The sequence below is a fragment of the Homo sapiens genome, chromosome 12 (assembly GCF_000001405.40).
Source record: "Homo sapiens chromosome 12, GRCh38.p14 Primary Assembly".
Classification (NCBI taxonomy): Eukaryota; Metazoa; Chordata; class Mammalia; order Primates; family Hominidae; genus Homo; species Homo sapiens.
In genome coordinates this window covers 78,117,389-78,140,081 of record NC_000012.12, presented here as the reverse complement: position 1 = coordinate 78,140,081, position 22,693 = coordinate 78,117,389, and the positions used below count along the sequence as shown (strand labels likewise).

The 22,693-nt window shown below is 34.5% G+C and overlaps 1 protein-coding gene and 1 pseudogene across 31 annotated transcripts in view; one reads left to right on the top strand and one right to left on the bottom strand.

The window, feature by feature from the left end:
- The window catches only part of NAV3 (neuron navigator 3), a 641,149-nt gene that overhangs the window by 72,929 nt on the left and 545,527 nt on the right, over nucleotides 1-22,693 (bottom strand). For 11 of the 31 annotated variants that reach the window (XM_017020166.3, XM_047429817.1, XM_017020167.1 and 8 more), the window contains 6 exons: nucleotides 21,785-22,055; nucleotides 20,137-20,845; nucleotides 17,654-18,142; nucleotides 12,874-12,915; nucleotides 11,216-11,376; nucleotides 2,717-2,905 (listed from right to left, as the gene is read on the bottom strand). In XM_017020166.3, coding sequence (XP_016875655.1) covers nucleotides 2,717-2,905; nucleotides 11,216-11,376; nucleotides 12,874-12,915; nucleotides 17,654-18,142; nucleotides 20,137-20,845; nucleotides 21,785-22,055 — 1,861 coding nt within the window. The remainder of the gene's footprint in view (nucleotides 1-2,716; nucleotides 2,906-11,215; nucleotides 11,377-12,873; nucleotides 12,916-17,653; nucleotides 18,143-20,136; nucleotides 20,846-21,784; nucleotides 22,056-22,693) is intronic. The other 20 variants (XM_047429818.1, XM_047429819.1, XM_011538940.3 and 17 more) reach the window with 3 other exon arrangements.
- Nucleotides 9,087-9,749, top strand: PRXL2AP1 (peroxiredoxin like 2A pseudogene 1; annotated as a pseudogene).

Sequence of the window (22,693 nt, the reverse complement as noted above, 5' to 3'; positions counted from 1 at the left end):
AGTACCTCAGTTGCCAAGTTATTAGACAGAAGCCTACAAGCATGAGCCCTACCAGCCTGTTTCGTACATGTTGAAAGCTACAGTAAATTCCCATATAATAAATAGAATAGCATGGAAACCCAAACTAAAGTTGCCATAAACTTTCGAACCTTAAAAAATGTATGTACCTTATTTATTTCATTTGTATCCAACAAAGGTCCACTTTCAGATTTTTTTCTCCATATAATTTCAGGAAAATAAGCACTTTTATCTAATGTGTTATTACAACATTATCTGTGATGCGTTGATCATACTCTTATAAATGTGGAATTACTGTTCCTTTACTAATTTTAGGAAGAGAAAAATACTTTTTTTTTTCAAGGTGATGTCTCAGAGAAATTGAGAATGGAAATGTCGCACTGGCTTTTATCTATTTCAAAATATCACTGTAAACATTGGACATTCTGCTTTATACTCCTATACTTCCAATGTACTAAACCCAAAAGGTGGATAAAATGGTGCTGATTAATATTTGCAGAAAAGTTCATCCTCTTTTTACTATGGAGTAGTATGTTTATTTCTGCTCATTGTGCATTAAACAAACATTAGTTGAGTATGAACGATGTGACAAGCTGTTGCTAGATCCTGGAACTACAAAAATAAATAAGATAAAATCCCAAAAGCTCAAAGAGAAGATAATAATTTAAAAGATATTTACAATAGAGTACTGTGATTGCTACTGAGATCAATATGGTGGGTACTACAAGGACATATGGGAGGTGCTTAAGACCTGATCAGGAGACGGCTGGAATAGCTGCACTAGGCTTGTAGATGAAAACATGGGGATGGAATTGAAGGATACCAGGAAGAACCTTTTTAAAACTGAGTATATAGATGTGGTCAAAAGAGGAATAAAGAAGAACCCCCAGTTTTCTAACTTGGGCAAAGCTATTACTCTATGTAATGTGCAAAATGTTGGTATTTGAGTCAATTATTTAAAAAAAAATTCTTTCTATCTCTAATAATACCCTCGTAAACTAAAGTGTTACCCTGATGTACCATAGGAAAGGTGGACAATTAATTAGACCATCTCATTCTCATTCTTTCTGTTTATGACCTTAGAACATGTGGCTCAGTCTCTTCATCTGTCAGTGTGAGCATTAGGTAGGATATCAATAAAGTCCCTTCAATCTAGTTCAATAAGTCTTGAATCTAGATCGCCATTTAAGAACTAGAATAGTTCAGTATTCAATGCGTGAGCACAAAAAAGCCATCTTGCCCACTTAGGCTAGCTTTCAGAAATTCAGATTATTTAATCCTGATACATTGAAGGCCAGAATTTCCCAGTATATAAAAATCACTTTATTTGTCAATGCCACACTCTAGAAAGCCATCTGTATGCTTAGCAAATTATTTTAAAAGTATTATAAGAAGCCTATCTGTGAAGAGAGCAACAGAACCATTTCAGAAAGCAGGGTCCTTACATTTGAGAGTAGTTATATTTTGTCTATCTACATGGAAAAAATCAGTGGAGTCATTGGATATAATTCACTGTCTGTCACAGTGAACTGAGTGGTTTGGTTAATATTGCAAAAGGCAATGACAACTATTCTCTACTGATTTAATGCCAGTATATTGAATCCATAGTGGTGACCTGAAAAACATGAGTCAATTTTCATTGCTGCCTAACCCCTCAGTCAGAAGATACTTTAAATAAGAAGGTAGGAAGGGAAAAGATCATGGAACAGAATTATTCTTTGTTCTCATATTTCATCCTTGTGACAAACCTAAGAAGTTACAGATGCAGAACTTAGGGATAAGAAGGTTAAGAAACTTGCCTAAGTTTATACCACAAGTAAATGGATGGCTGAAGACTTAAACTCTGGTATGTCTCAAGATTTGGAGACTTTTCTTTTAAACATAATTATTAGGGTTAATAATTTCATTCTAATCAGTTTGAATTTGTATGTCTAGTTTTATTTTATCCTTAGCTGACATGCTTTATAATATGTATGCTGTAAGTTTTCTTTATGGATACTAAAAAAATTCATTAAATCAAAGAGAAAAGTCTCTCAAATTATTGTTAAATTTGACATTTGAGCTTCTACAGTTTACAAAAATATATATATTTGAGCATCAACTCAGCTTCCTGAGGTTTTCAAGCTGATTTATTTGGAGTATTTACATAGAACTATATAACTATAAAGATATTTATTAGGTTAGGTGACAATTTTATTGCCATTGGATGAAGAAATAGTGACTTATAAAGCAAAAAAGTAGGTACAATATGAATTCTAAAATGATATAATAAAAAATTAGCACCAGAGGGAATTCCTGGGAATAAAAGTCAGCAACATGTGGTATTTTCATAAAATAATGTTTCTGGTTTGTGTGTCTTTATGGCTCTTTAACCAAAATGTCAAACAAAACATTTGCTCTGATATTTGATGCACCTGGGAAAATAGTTTATATGTATATTTCTGTATTGGAAAAGTAGATTTAGTCTAAACTCTTCTACAGCCAAGTATTAATATAAACAAATTCTGGCATATTTCCAAATACATAAAGAAATAGAAGATAATACAGAATAAAACTTCTTCAAGCTTCTAGTTTCCCAAATGATAATTACACTAGTTTATTTTCCTCTTCAGGAATCTTTGTGATGTGAGTGACACAATGGTTTCCCTCTCAGGGTTTAAATAAAGTGACTTCATCTTTAATCCCCCTCAACGCTTACCTTCTTCCATGCTGTCTCTGAATGAGCCCGAATGACTGATGGCACGAGGTCTTTCCTCCAGAGAAGTGGCACTCCCACAAAGCTGGGAGTCATCATAGAGATCGAAGGAAGAGTCTTGGGCTGGGATGCTGTTTGAGCGCATCATGCTGGGCCCGGGAAGGTTAAACTGAGACAAATTTGTTGGGCTCACTGAAAAACAAAACACACAGAGCCTATTACTCTTAAGCTTGAAAGATGAAAATAGCAGGTTGATAGAAAGTAAGAACATGATCCCAATACTTATGAAAACATGAATGTATAGTGAGTCCCTATTTAAGGTAAGAGTCTGCCTCTGAAATGTTCAATAACAGATCCCATTGCGTCCCTCTTTTCCTCTGGCACGTTTATGGGAAGCCTTACATCAATTTCTAAAGCAACAGTACACAAAACCAACAAGTCACCTCTACTGCTCTTGCTAGAAATGTAATAACATGGTGTTTTCTGCTACCTGTTATGAAGAAAAGATGGTCTTTCTAGAGTTTTCGGTTTTCTCTTTAAAAATAGTAATCACTTTAATGGAAAAAGCAAAATCAAAAAGAAAGTAAAATATAAAACATCTAAATTTCCCAAGAAGGGCTTTAAATGCTTCCAGGCAAATACTCTCAGTCACTTCAAGCTCTTAATTGATGTAAGTTCATGATTAGGACCATCATTATTATCAAAGTTAGATTATAAGGAAATAGTGTATAATAAACATTTTTATAACTAAACACAATGTAACATACATGGTATCTGCAGCCCACCATAAAGTTAATTATATGAAATGATTTTCTACTCTGTTTAAGATGAGCATATCATGATGAGATGGTCAAAAGTCACAAACATGTTATATTTCCAAAGAAGTATCTTAAGTCTGTAATTTTTAATAACAATTTATTTTCTTATTGCTTATTGCCAAAGAGTCCTCACCTGGTAGTCATCAATTTAAGGAAAGATTTGGTTGATTGTATGTACAACTACATTGGAAAACAATATAGTTGTGAAATTTGGAATAAAAGCAAAACAGAAAAATTGAGAAAGATATTCTAAATGCTCATATTTAAGAAAAGCAAGTTTGTTACTGGTATATGAGAAAGCAGGCAGGAGCCTCTTAAGATATAAAGGGAACTAACGAGTATTTTCAAAACCCTGTGGAATCCGTCAGTGGCTTAGAGTTGTTCTGACATCACTTCAAAATTTACTAAGATTTTTTCTGTGACACAGGCACTAAACTTCTTCTTAATACAAGTACTGGCTCTCAAAACAATGTAAAACAGGAAAAGTAAACCCAGAGGTAACCGGAGAGAAGTATCTCACATTTGGAAGGCACTGTGCTTGATAATCCTGGTATTAACCGAATTAACACACAGAACAACCCTCTGATAGAGCCAGTTATTGATTGGAGTAAAAGGAAGCATAGGACTAAGAATCACATATTTAAAATGTAATGGAAAAGGAAGAAAATATGAATCTCCAAAGTGCACAATCTATTGGAAAAAAAGAAGAAAGGATGGAAAGGCGAAAAAAGTAAAAAAGGGAGAGGGAGAGGATCTGCCTATCTTTCAAGCATATTCCTTCAGCCTGCAGTGACCATTAGTACCATTTCGGTCTGATTAGTGACAACAGCCAGTAGGTACACTGTAGGACATTGAAGACTTAAAATGTTTATGTTTAAGGTGGCAAGATTGGGGTAAGTCACCCTATTCTTGGTTCACAGTATGAATTTACTCTTGTTTAAATTAATGAAGTATTAAACAAATTTGCAAGTGCATCATTTTAGTATACGTATCTATAGGGTTAGGAGGATATTTTATTTGCTTTTTGGCTTTGTATAATTCTTACCTAAATGATTGCAGAGATATCCAAGTGAAGTGTACTTCTACAATTTCAATACATAATACTTAGCTCTATCAAGATGAAACATTAATGAGGATTAGGATAGATTTTAAAGGGAATAGTTTGCATTTACAAACCCTTTTGATAGCTTCTGCATTGGAAATTACACCTAACTATTTAAGAGTGTTCAATTAAGTTAATAACTATGACAGATCTGCTTTTAGATGTTGTAGTTGAATAGAAGGAAAAATATGACACAGTCTCTGATTTCAAGAGTAGCCAGTAGGGCAGATGTCTGAAGAAGGAGAAAAGTTAATATGTAAAATAGAACAAGAAAAACTATACAGTAGAAGACAAATGTAAGACATACAAAGATAATTTTTTGAATGGAACACAAATTGGTAAAGAGCTTCTAGTGGTAGTTTTGCTTTCCATCTGCTTTGGGCAAATAACCCAATCACTACCCTTCAGTTTTTTTATGACTAAAAAATGGAAGAATAAAAGGACTATAAGATCCATTCGAAGCCAAGAGACACACAAGAATTTCCAAATAGAAGAGAAACAGATATGGCAATGTATTAGGAAAAAGAGGGCTACCAACTTTGTCTTAAATTGCATTTGCATAGCCAAGCCACTATCTTGGCAAAGCCACTAACCTTTTATTAAGATTATATATTTATTTGTAGTAACTTGAGGAAAACAGGATCCTATATAAATGTGGACTGGGTTTTTATGATATTATTAAATACTATTATTGTGAGACAGGGTCTCACTCTGTCTTCCAGGCTGGAGTATGCAGTGCCACGATCATAGCTCACTGTAGCCTGTAACTCCTGGACAAGGGATCCTCTTGCCCCAGCCTCCTGAGTGCTGCTGGTATTACAGGCATGATCCAATGTGTCTGGCTGGACTGGGTTCTTAAATAACCCCAAGTCACTCTCTACTTTTGCATCTACAGCTAGACATTAACTAGTGAGTTTATTATATTGTTTTAAATATGAAGAGCTGTCATATGCAATCTAACTTTGACTTATTTTGTAGAATCTGGATATATATAACTAGGAACAATAGGTGAAGATTCAGGAAAATTTTATTTGATCTCTTAAAGAAAGAATTTCAAAGGTGTTATTTCTAGATTTTAGTAGTTTCTGTCATTGGTGGGTTTAAAGAAGAAGCTAGAGATGTCATAAAATTTTACATAAGAGATGAAGGGTTGAACCAGATGTGGTCTCTTCTGACTGTGAGATTCTATGCTTCCGAAAGAATAGAAGACAGGAGTTCATTCTGAGAAGATTGAAGGTTGAACACGAAGATGGGAAAGGATTCAAGGTAGAGGAAGATTTGAGTACAAAAGCATAGAAACTGTTCCTATGCAAAGGTGTTTAACAATCACCATATGCAAAAGGATCCATCGAATTTAGAGAATATTAGATGGATATTAGAAGTGACAGGTTGACATTAATGTTCCTGCATGTAACCCTTGTGGCAAGATGAAAAATGAATCTGAGCGATTGTTATCATGCATGGAGGCATGACAATGAGTCTCACCAGGTTATGAGATGGCTCACAAGAACTATGACCTCTTCTGTTTCTCTTCTATTTAGAAATTCTTGTGTGTCTCCTGGCTTTGAATGGATCTTAGAGGCCTTTATTCTTCCATTTTTTCATTCATAAAAAATTGAAGGGTAGAGATTGGGTTATTTTCCCAAATGAAGTTTCATCCAAAGACTTTTTGATTTATGTAAGCTATACTTTGTTAGTCTTTCTTGAATGGGAATGGTTTCTACTAGGGCTAGCATGCTGGGAACGACACACGAACCATAGTTTACTGTGGCAGTAGCTCACAGTAGTCTACTAAATATGACATATTGTAGTGATCTTAATTTTCTAATATATGTTGTGATTTTTTATAGTAAAATTTCTAAAAATTTTATATATTAACACATTTTAATTGGTAGAAAGAATAAAGAAAACATGAATACTGCAACTTTTGAACATTAATAATAATTCTGTATCTTACTGATTATTCAGAAAAGATAATGGTCAAATCAAAAATGGGTGATGCTAAAAGACAACAAGAGGACATATTTAAGGTAAGTATATATATATATATTTAAAATTTAATAATAAAGTAACTTTAATTTATTATTGCATTTTAAGAGTACTCATTTTCTTGCCCAATGAACAGAGGTTCAGGTGAACTGTAAATACAATAAAAACTCTTTAAATATTATGTTTTTGAATCAATCATTTTTTCCACTCTGAAACCATACAGCATAAAGATCTCAAAATGCCTGATTTGAAGCCATACGTGTTTCTAAGATCTGGAGAGGTACATGAGATTATGTTGACACGGACAGGAATATCTTCTTTTATACCTTCCAATGGGTGAAAATGTTGAAACATAAGGGAGTCGACAGAGTAAGATCAATTTAAAATCTGCTGCAATTGTCTATAGTTAAAAAAGCTTCAGCAAGGACAATGTCCCTGAAAATGAGAGACAGATGTAGGAGATATTCTGAAGATAAAATCACAGGTTCCTGTCTATTGAAAATGTACAATATGAAGAGCACAGTTTCAAGTAAGACTATTGATTACACAGATTTTGTGCTAGAGTAGAGAGAAGGATGATACATGAAATTATAAGACAAATAGAAGAAAAGAACTTAAGAAAAGACTTTGATTTCAGGTGGCTATATGGTCTAGCACACTGATGGGATTTTAGTTTTAGAGCTGAAAAAGGTCTCAGACAGAAAGTGAAATGTTGATTTGAGAGATTAGAATTAAAGTTGTGAATGAGAACATAGAAAAAGGGTTTAGGATAAAAAAAAGTCTACAGGAAAAACAACTTGGTAAACACATAAATATAAGGAGGAGATGGAGGATGAATTGCATTGCCCAGGGTTTGCACCTAATACCTGGAACAATTATTAATATAGTCCCATTCACTCTCAAAAGTGACCTTGTGTCTACAATAAATGATACAGCTATGTTAAGATGAGCAACCCCAGGAGAAAGAATTGTAGTTGGAAAAGTATGAAGAGAATCAAGAGGGCAGTGTCACTTAAGTCATGGCCTGTCTGACACAGCTGAGAGATCTCTGATATAAACCACAATAGATTAAGGGGGGAAACCCACATCCTAGAAAGGTAAACTTAACCTTTCAGACTTGGTTTCTATAGCAATGAAATGTAAGGGATGTATTTGATCAGTGGTTTTCTAATTCATTAGAACATTAAAGCTCTACAGAGAGCTTTGTTGTCAGTAAAAGTATAATTCACATTTCATTTATTAATTGTGTTTTAACTCTGAAAACTATGTAATAAAATACATTCCCAAGTGTGCTACAGAACCATTCATTTTTTAACACATTGTGACCATGGACATGTTAGCTTCAGTTGCCATGTTAACTTTAATTTATGCAAATCTTAGCATAAACTTATCTTTGCACAAATATTTGATATTTGTGGTAAATGAGTCCTTGATAACAATGTCATAGTTTTGTACTTCAAAAATACAATCTTTCAAAAACACAATCTGTGAATGTCTTTTACATAAAATCCTGTGGTTACTGTGTTGCGAATTACTACTCAATTAAATGTAGACAAAGCTCAGGCATATCTGATGAATGCTACTCTATGATCGTGTAAGACATGCTTTCCAGTGAAAATAATGATTTGGCAGAATCTGTCAAGTCTTACACACTTCTCCATCTTTACATACACTATATCCGTCATTCTTTACAATATAACCTAGGTATTATGTATCCATTCAAGAGATAAGAAAATTAAGTTTAAACGACTTCACCAATGTCAGACATAGTTAAGTGGTGAGTCTTTTTGTTCCTAAGGAATAATGAAGGTGGATTTAATCAGAATAATAATGGTGAGGAAAAATAGAAGAAGGAGTCAACTAATCAAATTAACGTCAATTAATGAAAGAATTGATAGGAGACATGAAGTACTTAGCAAGCTTATAGCACTTTAGGTGATTTGGGTGTGTTTTAGATGTTGTATAAAATTTTTTCATATTCCTATGACCTACACAAACATTTTAAATTCATTTTTTGAAGTTAAAGTGTTAGGCTTTTCGCTTTTTTAAAAAATCAACTGCATCTTAAAGCAAATAAAAGCTATACATTCTTTGGCATTATAGGTAAATTCTCTTATCACTATATAGGTTAGGAAACAAAAACTTGGTGTTTGATATGAAATCATTAGCTTATATGAAACCATGACCAAAATAATTGTTTTCAATTGCTAAAAGCCCTACTCAATATAGTGGGAAGGGTTGCAATAGAAAAGACATAGCCTTGAGTCTTGTCCTGGCTGAAAGCTGGAAAGTCCAACTTACTGAAAAATGTCAATCTTCTGTAGGTGCATGATTAGAATTTTTTTTCCAGTGAAAAAAAGAAAAAGTAATGAGGCCCTTGGAACCCTCAGGGCCCAGGAGGGTTTGACCCCTTAGTGTCTGGGCTTCAGGTTTGGGAGAAGGGAAGAAGAGGGAGGCACTTGAGGACCCACGGTGCTTCTCTGTGTGGATGTGGTCCATGGGTGCAGGAGCCCTTGGAGGCTGCTGCCTTGGCACTGATGCTGGCCAACACAGATGTATTTTTGTCCAAGCCCTGGAAAGAGGTGCTGGAGTACCTGGAGAATATAGACCTGAAAACACTGGAGAAGTAACCAATGAGTTTCAAAGCAAAGGAGCTATCGGGAGAAGAATGGAGTTGTGATTGTGTCTGTGCCAGGATGTTTTCTCTGGCAAGAGGGGCTGCAGATCTGTCCTCCCTGCAACCCAAGTTGGATAAGCTGGGCATCTCCCTCTACGCAGTCATTAAAGAGCAGGTCAGGACTGACATAAAGTTTTTCCAGCCTTGTTTCAAAAGAGAAATCTTCCTGGATGATAATAAAAAGTTCTATGATCTACAAAGACAGAAGATGATGTTTATGGGATTTAGCCCTCTGGGAGTGTGGTACAACTACCTCCAGCCAGGAATCGAGGCTTCCCTGGAAGCCTGGAAAGCCAAGGCTTCATCCTCAGGGGAGTTTTTGTGGTGGGATCAGGAAAGCAGGGGATTCCCGAGCATGCAGAAAAAGAATATGGAGACAAAGTAAACTCACTTTCTGTTCTGGAAGCTGCTAGGAAGATCAAACCAGAGACTTTGGCCTCAGAGAAAAAAATGATCGCATGAAATTGTCCAACTCAGAGAAACTAGGGGCATTCATTCACCTGTGTTCATGGAATGTGTTGTCCCCACTTGTGTCCCTAAGGAGTTAGAAACCTGCATTTATCTTATTCTCAGTATGGCTTATTAACATATTTTAATATTACACTCTGTTTAGGCCCAGTAAGGCAAAATAGTCCCCAAACTAGACTGGCAAAAAGCTAAGAAAGCAGTGAAGATTATTCAGCTAAAACCTGGAAAATACAAGGCTCAAAATTGACTGTTGTGCCTCATTACAAATGTATATGGTGTTTGAGTTCTGTTATTTGAAATTATGTTTATTTTCAGGTCTTCAAAAATCTAAGAGAAGTTGATGATTAACTTGAAGTTTAGAAAATATAAGGTTTTGGATTGTGTGTTTTCTATTACTAATTTTTTATATAATGTCAAAGGAGTACTTTCATGATGGAATTGATGTGCTCTGGGATAGTTTGACAAAGGTAAATTATAAAGTGAAATTTCTTGTTTCATTGTCCTCCGTCCTAAATTCAGAGATGTGTTTTTCTAGAAGGAATGATCGTCTCTGGCTCTAATAAGATTATGTATCAATACTCATCTTTATGTACAAGTTTTTCTGATAAACTAATAATAAAAATATTTACCATAAAAATAATGAGAATACTTTATATGTGACTTTATAGAAAATAAATATATTTTTAAAGTCATTGAATCTATTAAATGGTATCTGGCATGTTTAGTTTTCTTTAATTATTTTGTTACTCAGAGTGCTTTTAATGAAATTTTATGCAAATGATTTTATATTTCATACAAATGATGTTAAATACAAAGTAACCCAATGACTAAGTTGGTAATTTATTTTTCATTGTATCTATTTGAAAATGTTCAGAGTATTGTCTTAACAGAAATTCTTGTATGAATTTTAAGGAGTTTTAACTTTAACAGTGTTAAAAGAAGTTAACTTTGAGTCATGGAATTACATATTTTTTTCTTCCTAATTGTTTCTATTTTCTACAAAAGATTACTAATTTTGTTTTAAGGATGTTTTAATATTTCAGACAAATAAATAAGGAGATGCCTTCCTGTTTTTTAAGAGGATTCTTAAATGGAATGGAAAGGCCCCTGGGATTAAAGTCAGATGTTCTGAACTGGTTACTGCCTTGAACCCTTAGTAATGGTAAGACTTTTTCAAGTCAAGTGAACTTTCTGAGCCTCTGGAGCCTAGACTAGAAAACAACCACAGTATTAATCTATGTTAAGCATTTGTCATGAGCAATAAATAGCATAATGTTTGGAGATTTTTCTGTGAAGAGTAAACAATGACACAAATGAAAGGTACTGTTAAAGTGCTTTTATCCCTCCCTTTAAATGAAAACGTGTTGTGTTATGGAGAGATTCCAGGGTTTCTGTGAGAGTGGGTGGTGAAAGAAACAAAACAAAATCAATATTTTAGAATATTTTACCCAAGTTAGAAAAGTGGTATTTTCCAGCTGCAGAAGATGACATGGCAGAAGGGGAAACCAGAGGTGACTGGTTGCCAGTGTCCTGAAGCCCTCCAGTAGAATGAGAACGCAACCACTCTTTGCCCTCTTCTTGGTTGGCCTGCCGAGATGATGGGGTATATCTGCAAAACAGCACAGCTATGACACTTAAGCACATCTACAAGGGCAAGGCAATGCCAGGACAGGAAAACAATTCAGAGGAGGTTACTATTCAGAATGAACAATTTCAAACAGATTGAATCTAATTATAATTGCTCAGTTCTTCCAGATGATCTTACGCCATCTGTTTGAATCACATAGGGAAAAAAAATAAGATAAAGGGTTTTGAGGAGAAAATTATGCTTCTATCAGATATGCAGTTGGAAATCATAAGCAATGAGCAGACAGCCAAGTTAATTGAGAACTCAAAAGCACAGGGCAAGAAAGGATGTAAAGAGGGTGAAAACATGGACTACAAATGGAGGACAGTGGCGGGCCAGGGCCAAGGGAAATGAAGGATGGTCACAGAAGGCATAGGGAAATGGAATACATATTGGCAGCTTTTGTTTTTTTTTTTTTTTAAAGGAAAAACAGTTCTTTTGTTAAACTGCCACTTGACATCATGCCTAGATTACAAAAATAAGGAGGGAGATGTGCTCGCTTTACTGGAACATAAATTTCTGGATCAAAATATTAACATGGAATAATTGCCAGCTATTTGCTATTGCTGAAAAATTGGAGAGAAAAAAAATAATGGAGAAAGACCTAGTTTCGCCATTATTCAGTGTTTCACCAAACTAAGTATATTCTTTTTCTTTTTGTAAGTAAATTCTTAGCACCAAAATTAGCCAACTTTTCATACACATACAGTGTTATACCTCTATTAGTAGATCATTCTATCTCTTCCTCAGATAAAAGTACACAGTAAAAGATGGCCATAAGTTAAATTTTTATTTTATTTTTTATTATGGATGGAATAATTATTTTGAGATTATTAAATATTAGATTAATTCAGATTTAAATTGATCTGATAGCAGTACCCCTGCAAAATAGAAATTAAAACAATTTTGAGATTTTATCAAAAGGATTCTATAAAAATCACACCTTAATTACAGCATTTGTCCTGTGATGATGAAAATATGTTTTCTTTGATTCAGATTGTAGCATCCTTCAACCTATCAACATTAACTGCCCACATCTGTAGACTGCATGGGTTTTGAATATTTGCATGCATATGACTCTAATAGGCAAAAGTTAGAAGAGTTAATTTTATTTTAATTTGTTGAAGTGAGTTCTGCATTCTACCAAAGTTGCTGCCCCCAAAAAAGTAATGCCTGGGACAAGTTTTTTGTTTGTTTGTTTTTGTTTTGTTTGTTTGTTTGTTTAGTATTATTTCTTCAAAATAGTGATATTCACATTGGAATTTATTTAATTTGAGAGACAGCCTCAATCTCTACTAGTATCTCTACCTAAGGGGCTATCTCACCAACTGTTCGGGCCAGAGAAACCATCAAAATTAAAAGTGATTTCGTCCTCAATGTCATGTGCTACATTGCAAACAAACAAAGAAGGAAGAGAGACAGCACACAAAGTTTACATAACAACAGAGAGGTAGCAATTGTGCTGAGAGGAATATATACCTTAGTCCCTTTTTGGGTAGTGTATTTCTGTCAAGCTGCATGCTGTTAAAACAAAGAAAACCCCTAAGGACATAATGTAAACAAAACTTCCAAATTACACATCCAACAAAAATGGTTCTCTGAACTATAAAAAATAATTTTTTGGTAACACACATATAATGCTTAACTCATTGAAAAAGGCCAACTAAAGGTGACAAGATGTCCATTGCCGTCACACATATTTGAGTTCCTTTCTAATGCAGTACAATTCAATGACAGTTTAGTGATAGGATTACTAGAAAATAGATTAAATCACATTAGCATAATTTTCCTCTGAATCCTATTGATTAAATACTATCTTAGTTTTTCCTTCCCTATGCAACTGATTAGACTTTTGCTATGATATCACATGCAAAATGAGATAGATCTGCTCTGGCTAAGTTAGAGTGACAACTTCCAATTGACAGAGATGGTATAAAACATTGTTTAATACTTATCTTTTGTCTTCAAATTATTTTTAATAAAAAGGCATGTTTATTTCCCATTTATACATGTGAAGAAAGATATATGAATGTTTGCTTAAAACTTAATTGATTCTAGTATCATTTATTTGAATATTTTAATGAAATTAAGCTATACCATCTTTTAGAAATCATAAATTAGGTATTTAAAAGGCTATAAATTTTATCATCTCTATTTTAAGGAATTCACAATTGGTAACAAGAAGGAATGAAAAGCTATGTCTAGAGAAAATAAGAAATGGCCTCTCTAAAAATACAGGAAGAGGATATCAACAACTAAGTGGGACAAGTTTAGGGATTTCTTTTATAATCTCTGGCATGTGGATAAGCAAAGTGTAAAATTAATTAAAATTGCAGAATTATAGCTTTCTTCCTTTAGGACATCAAATGATCAAAATTAAATACACAGGATACGCATAATGGGGATGATATAACATGAATGTAAAAAGGCTGACCTAAAATTTGATCACTCAAACCAAAGCTAAAATGTTTTCTTCTATGTGTACTCCATTATTTAGCACTGAAATCAAAAGCATCCAAAGGCTTTATACAACTTTAACTTTATCGGTAATAGCCATGTAAGGTAATTGCTTATACTGTGTAGAGGCCAGTTACAGTATATATGTTGACTATAGAAGTTTTCTTAAGTACTGTGGATAAACAAACAAAATAAATTATATTGAACAAATATGAGAAATCTCCAAATATGAACCACATGTGCTAAGGCATTTATGTGGTCATAAGTCATTTTAAGGATTATTTATTTCCATGTGTACAAGTTAAAGTTTAATGCCACAAAGAATATGAAAAGTTGGTATTCTTCTGCCAAACTCATCCAGTTGTATAAAAATTATATATTTATATGATGAAGAGCAATTTAATGAAAAAAATTAGAATAAATACATTTAAAGTTACCATAATAATTTAAAGCTTTATTTAGAAATATGTTTGAATCTAGATATTAATGATTTTCTAACATAGACAATTTCTGCAAATCACCAAAGGTTGCAAACTCATATGCCAGCAAGGGCCAGATAGGGCATGAAAACGAATGGGGATTTCAGTCAACAGTCTGAAGCAGACAGGCACTGACTGCCTAGAGCCAATAGTTTCTAGGCAGAAATGTCAAGGCAGCGTTGCCAGATCTGACATTTAAAGACAAACCCAGAATTTGCAAAGTTGGTTACTACAAATTATTTAAAAATTTAGTTGAGTCAGACACATGAAACAAAACCCAAAACAAATATAGACTAGTTATGGCTCAATGGCCACCAATGACCTAGAGCAGCTGCAGAAGAGAAAACTGTTAAAAAGTGTATTTTATTATTTTATTTAATTTAATGAAGAGGAATTTAAACAAAAATTAAAATCTATAGGAAAAGCTACCGATTTAAATATGAGTATCAAAAAATCATCTAAAATTGTAGACAAACAGGTAAATCATGAACTTATATACATCTTTATTATATATCGCTAATTAACTTGCCTTAAAATTTACATTAACACATTTTCTCTCTGGTGTAGTTCTTTGGTTTTCTTAGCATTTCTGACATTCTACTGATCAATTAATTAACCATAATGAAGCCAGTATCACCCACTAGATCTACTTTTCTCTTCAATAGGTCATAAACTTTCTTAAATGTACTTGAAAGGATTAGAGCAATTTGCTATTGCTTGCATTTCTATTGTCAAGAAAACAAAAAGCTCAGTGTCTTATATTAAAATTTATTTTAATCTAGTAATTTACTGGAAGGCACTAATTAATATTAATATTATACACTATAGCTATGTAGTTAACATGTACTTTTTACAGCTTAATATTCATTAATGCATTTTATTAAGGCTCAAAGGCAAAACATATTTATCCAAAATTAGTTTAAAGTTTATTTTAGAAAAAGTCTTTATTTGGCCATTTTAATGTAGGAATACTCCCATTTTAAAAATTGGCCTATTTCAGGCTGGTGCCACGGCTCACACCTGTAATCCCCACACTTTGGGAGGCCAAGGAGGGTAGATCGCTTGAAGTCAGGAGTTCGAGACCAGCCTGGCCAACATGGTGAAACTTCATCTCTACAAAAAATACAAAAATTAGCCCAGCATGGTGGTCCGCTCCTATAACCCCAGCTACTCAGGTGGCTGAGGCATGAGAATTGCTTGAACTCGGGAAGCAGAGGACGCAATGAGCTGAGATGGCACCACTGCCCTCCAGCCTGGGCGACAGAGTGAGGCTCCATTTCAAAACAAATAAATAACATAACATAACATAACATAAATAAAATTGGCCTATTTCAAAGACTGAACATGTACAATAAATAAATCTGCTTAAAAAGAATAAGAAATTGCATATTTTCTAGTGTATTTCCATAGTGAAAATTTTATTGACTTCAGTTAAAATATAGATTAGAGTAAAATATTAAAACTGCATTTTGGTTATAGCTATGCAACTAACCAATCTTTCATCTAGTTTTGATTTGAATGTTACTTGGTTATAAATAGTTACTTGACTTTATTTCTGAATCTTGGATTAATGTCTAAATGCTGAAGAAATAGGCTGATGGCTAAATGGCCAACTTGTTGCAGATTATCTTAATAATTAAAAAATGACCAGTTTTGTGGAAGGTGGTTGTGGTTAATAAATGATAACCTATTTGCACTATGTTTGGTTTGGTTATCAAGTTGATATTTAGAATCCTTACATATGAGCATACAATCTAGGATACATTCATTAAAACTATAGGTTGTTTATCTATTTTAATATAATTCATTCATTAGAAGTTTTATAAATGACATGTGAAGATGCCCATTTACCTTAGAAGTGCTGAAACTAGAATCAAAGATTTTACAGGAAGCCCGACATTTTAGGTGGAAAAATGAACCCTTACTGGTCTTTACGTATGCTGTCTATAATAGCATATAACAGCAAAACCATAGGGAAATGGTTACATTTTATTTGCTATCACTGAGCTGTTTGCCTTGGCCCAGTTTTTTTCTTTAGGAGGAAAAATGTATTTTGTAATTAGCAGCCCACCATAGGAAACACCAATATTTTAGTTAGTGTTAAAATTACTTTATCATCGGGAAGCCCCATTTGCACGGCTGTCCCTGTCTCATTGTTAGGCAAGTAGGAAGTAAAGAGGGAAAGAAGCAATGTTTTGCTCTGGGTTTTGTTTTTACAAAGTCAAGAGAAAATGGGGAATTTCAAATTGGGACATCCTACATTAAAGGGAAACTGGCGTAATGCAGAGAGTGTCTAGCTAAGGGCTTTAATTGATGTTTAAAAATATCATTCCGGGAGTAAGGCTGAAGGTCTAGAAAATAAATGCCATCATCAATATCAGAGTTAAAAAATAAAAATAAAAAAAAAATAAAAAAAACAGGGGAAGACATAGAAAGATATATCAGGTATTTTACGTGACCAGTATTTCTTTCCACATGTGGCCAAGACCATGTTTAAAGCTTTACTTATGTCAAGAGACAAATAGCATTGCATTTATCAGGAAAAAGAAGTGGTTTTAAGACATTTTCCTGGTGGTAAGAGTCAGTACAGTATAATCAAGAGAGGATCACTTTGAGGAGAAAATTTAGAGTGATTTTGCTCAAAAGGGATGCTTCACAGTAAGCATATTAGGTAAGAAATGCCTTGCTATGTCCTCTACTTTAAGTTTATATATATATATAAAGCCAATGAGAAACACTTTGTAATATGATTACTTTTTAAGCAGTCTATTGAAAATGGCACTGACACTATAATTTTCTCTAATGATTCATGGCTGACAATTGATTTTTTTTTTTTTTTTTTTAACCAGGCCAACTAGGATTTCCCAGCAATCCATCTGCTATTTTTTCATAGAAGTACAAATGGAACAAATTTAACATATTGCTCTGAGCATAACTATAGAATAATTTCAATTTGGTCTTTCAAAATGCTTAAGTCATCATAAGGAGCTAGTGTTGTTCTGAAGCTTAAGCCAAATCATTAAAATGTCTTCAGGAGACCTCATTCAATATCTAAATACATTCCTTGAATTTTATTCACATTGCCTACTGGGTATAAATGTATGCATTCATATTAACAAAATTATCCACTCACCCTACCTTTAATGATTCTATTCCTCTGTAAATTTGGTAATGAGAGCAAATGAAAGGCCCGGTTTCATCAGTCTTACATCTTTTTGCACCGGGGCACTCACAGTGAAATCAAGGGAATTTAATGGGGTGGGGGTTAGGCATAGTGCAGGGAAGAGGGGGAAGATGTTATCAATGCCTCCAGGAAAGCTCACCTTTCTGAGAGAGTAGATCTCACACTACCCGTTCTCATGAGCAGGCTCTGGACCTCGTGAGTGCCTGTGGTCAGTCCAGACAAGGAGCCATGATGGCTGAGGGGGAGGTCAATGGACTCAGAGCTCGTGTGGAGGCTAGTCATGGACTGGTAGCTCGGAGTATCCTTGCTGCCTGCAGAGGAACTGCTCATATTGGCAGCCCACACGAGACCACCTGATGTGAAAGAGTGAACCGATGCTGGGCTGGAGGCCAACGAGTGACTTAAGCTTATAACATCTGTAGTTAAGTCTGAGGGTTTATTGAAGAGAGGGCTGCTGCTGCCGCTTAGCCCACCAGCACTGCCCATGCTGCCCGTACCGGACGACGGTGACTCCAGACTGCCTTGCCGCGCTAATGTGGTACTAGGGCTGGGCATTACTGAGGAAGATTTCACACCCTCAGTATTAGGTGCAGAGGCAGATTTGCCACCTGCCTTGGCACCAAACAACCTAAAAGAAAAACAAATAACAACTTCAGTTGTTCCAAGAAGCTAATATCCACATTTAATATTTCGGGTTACAGTACACAGAGCCAAGTGTGCTTTGATGTACTGAACTACAAAGCACTTCCTGTCTCTATGTTAATGAACTTTTATAAGCTTGGACTTCTTTATCAAGTGCAGAAAATCTCTCATATAAGGGTAGGTCAGTACTGAGCTGCTACTAGGGAAAGAGGGGAAGTGGGTGGAACAAAAGTAAGTCAAACATGAAAACCCCTGGTTTTCATAATTTAAGTGATCATGAGACTTTCACTCAAAGTCAGTAGTTTGACCATATACTTGCTGTTACCTATTTACAGAACCATTATAATGAAACAACTTCTACGCATTCGATAGACAACACTTAAATGAGCTCTTCTCTTTTTTTTTTATTTTTAAATTTTTAAACAGTTTATTCAAAATCTAGATGGAACGCTTAAAGCAAGTTTAGGGAGTTGTGTTGAGTATCTGGTGGTCTGAGTCACTGTCAGGGAGCAGTTGGTTGGAAACAATATTGACATTGTCGGCAACAAGTCAGTTTGTCTGTATTTTCCCCAGCAGAGGCCAAAGGGTTTTATGTCAGTTGCCAGTGCTATTCAAATACATTTTTTAATAGTGATTTGAAACAGAGCTGGTGCTGTTAGATTTTGGAGTTTAGTTCAGAAAACATTTTAGTTTTGTAAATGAAGCAGATGGTAGAATCAAATTTATGTAAATATGGAAATACAATGATATGAAGTAATGGCATAATGATTACTAATTGAGTTGCAATGAAATCCATATTTCCTACAGTGAAATATTTTATGACGAATATGAGAAATTGTTTCATAGGTAATGGGCCACAGGAGGGCACTATTGGCTTTTACTTAAGAAACAGAAATATTTACTCTCCCTATACGCCATAATTCATTCTTCCCAATGAGAATCAGTATTTTAAAAAGACAGTTCTGCAGCATTAATATTACTACGGAGGAATAAAGCCTTTAGGTTTTTCAAACAATCAGGTATCTGAAATTGCTTTATTGTAAAATAAATGTTTCAAAATCTTTCCTTTCCAAGATATCAAAGTTCTGGGTTTAGTCAACAGAATAAAAACAAACATTAAAAATATTGAACCCATAATGAACTATAAACCACACTCTACCATTTTGCAGATGAGAAAACAGACTCAGAGAGGTTTAGATATTTGTCCCCAATTTTTAACTGCATTTATTTTCCTACCACTTAAAAACACATGGGTATTTAAAAACAGTGATATCTTAGAGCAGAACTTCACATATTTAACACCAAAAACAATCCAGGAACAGAAACCAAGTCATGATCCTTACCAGAGTCATGTCAAAGAAAGCAGATGAAGAGTTAGAAAGCTTAGCCCACTCTTCAGTTGTGATACTGTACCAAACACTGGAATAGTTTCAAATTATGTCATATCTTGATTGTCTTTAATGTGTCAAGATATGACACTGTATAAATCTGTCCAATGGAATCTGTTACAAGGAAAACAACTTCATCTACATTTATGATCACCAACTCATTAAGAGCCAGCAAGAAAATGACACTGGAAATGAATGCCAAAAGTCATGAAAACCTATTTGGTTTTAATTTTTAATGTGAAAAGGAGGAATGGAAATCTATAGAAATTTTACAAGCTATTACTTTGCCTTATCACTACACTTAGGTATTACCATCAGCTTTTAAGTCTCTTAGATGTTGTTTGTGTTGCTAGTATCACAATGACAGTGAAACTTTGAAGTTTGACTGTTTCTCAAAATGAGAACTATTTTTTTTGCTAGCTGTTTATATGATAAGCTTCATAGAGCTCACTGTGTACTTTAAAGAATTCTAAGATATATATATACCTTATACATATTTAAAATATATATATACACACATTTATATGTAATGTATGTGTCTAACACATATTTATCCTTTATATTTTTCCAGCATCATTTTATACATCCTTACCTTCGAAATGTGGGTGAGGCAATATCTGGATACTTGGATCCTGGCTGCCTGAGACCTTGTGCACCACAGGCGCTGGCAGAGGTGGGGCTGGATTTGGGGGAACCTGACAAAGAAACACTTTCTGAATCTGAGACTGCTACTTTTTCCTTTTCCTTGTCTGTTTGGTTGACGGTGACAGGACTCGAGCGCCCTGACCCAATTTTAGTTGGTTCTCTCAGTTTCGAGGTGGTGGCCCCAGCAGACTTGCTGCTGACGTTGGAATCAATACTGCTGGTACTGGATCTGTGGCCTCCTCGGCCAGGAATGCCACTGGTGCTGGATTTTGAAGGGCGGGGCAAGCTGCGATATTGTAGGGTAGTCTTTGAGCTAACATGCAGCACAACATCATCCTGATTCTGTGAACCGTCCAAACTGGTTTTTCTCCCTGCATTTGACTTCCCGCCAATGGCAGCAGATTTTGGAATTTTACCCAGTGTTGCAGAGCCACTTGTTATGGTTGCTCCACTGCTGGTGATCATGGCAGATGACCCTACTCCACTTGGTTTCTTAAAGCCAAAGGAGCTGGTGGCAGTCGATCTTCCAATGCCTGAGGGGGGCTTTTTCCCTTCATCTCCACTGCTTTTTCCTGCATCTGAAGGAGATCTTTGTAGAGATGATCCTTTTAGGGGAGCTTTTCCTTTCTCAGAAGCTTTGGCATCATCGGTTTTCCCTAATTAAGGAGAAATACACAAATATATGTGCCTGTAGAGTTTGATATCACCACACTTCGTGAAACAATGTGTAAAATGTGAATGCTTCTTTATATTATTTCCCTTCCTAAATGTATTGTCTTAGATCAAAAATCTCATATATTGAGAGGACTGAGTGCATAGCTACAAAAATTTGGCTGTCAGAAGAAACATTATGAGAGATGGAAGAGATAAAATGAAAACATATGTTTTGCTATTTGTTAATGTCTTATATTTTGCAACTCTTTTTAAAAAGATAACACTTAACCCTATCAAGCTAATTACTAGAAAAAGAATTCATTTGAATATCTGTGAGATGATTATATTTGGAGTACCCTGTTAATTAGTGCTTCAGGTGGCACTATTTATAATTAGGCATTATTTTAAAAATACGGGGAGAGTCTTTTTAAAAAAAGTATGGCACAATTTTGAAGAACTATTTCATTCTCTTCTTTCATGAAGTCTAATACACAGACAATATTTCAAATCTCCAGCATTCCAATTGATTAGTGTCATTGCTTGTTCCTCTCAGAGTCTGTAGTGCAATTCAGTGGCATATTTAGTGTAAAAATTCCAAACTTTCATTAAGAACGCAGAACAAAAACAAAAAAACTTAACTGTTGCTTTAGCAACCTAATCTTATTTCCCCATTACCTGAAATAACTCTGGCAAGGTAAGGCATCCAGTACCCCTAGTTTATGAGGAGGCTTTCCAGAGAATGCCTAGATATAGGCCCTACTTGGGCTTCTATGACGAGTTTGTGAAACGTAGACAGAAAAACTATTTAACTATTTGACTCCATGTTTAATATGGATAAGAATTTGGTATTTTAGAAATGCTATTGTTAGAGAAAACAAAGATTGAATGGAAACAATAAAGTAAAGCACTTTTGCATAACAGCTGGCAAACGACAAGCCTACCGGGTGTTTTGAGTGCACTTGTTCCAGCTTTCTGCCTAGATGGCGCCCCTCCTTGGGCAGACATGCCTCTTCTCCAGGAACCTGTCTGTGAAACAGACAGGGAAGCTTTCTGCCCTGCCTTCTCGGGGTCTTCAGGAAGTCCAGAGGACACAGTCTTCCACTTGCCACCAGCATCCCCATGGCTGTCAAAATCTTCTTCTGGTTTTTTCAGTTCCTCAGGACTATCCCAGGTCTCGTCTGTGGTGGAGCGTTTCTCTGAATCTGTCCTCAGCTATAAAGACAAATATTACAGAAAAACTTTATGTAGAAAAATTTATAAAGTATGAATTAAGGCAATGAAATGTACTTTCAGATAACTGGATAAATCCAAAGATTCTATTTTGATTTACCTTCACTTACATTTTATTAATTTTAGCCACATAATTCCCACTTGCAGATATTAGAGAATTTCAGAATAAATACATGCAGAAAACACCAATTAAACGCTACAGAAAGGTAGAAATTTTCTATATCAAATGTCATAAGAAGTAGTAAGACAAGCTAGAACTTAATGATGTAATGTCCATTTTTCATTTTTGATTTATCATTCACAACAGATCCAGTGATATATTTCAGAGATCATATAAAATTAATCAAGAACTATCTAAAATTAGACTATGAAAATAATTGCTGGATTTTTAAACAAACATATCGATATTGTAAGGAGAGATATGGCAACATAAATCTTTCTGAATTAGATTGTAATCAATTGAATATATATTATATTAAGTATTGATATGTTACTATTATATTAATATAGAATTATACATTATATATTAATATATACACACCATATAGCTTGGTGGTGTAGTTATCTATACAAATATAGTAATTCATCATTAATATATTAAATATATAAATATATATTTA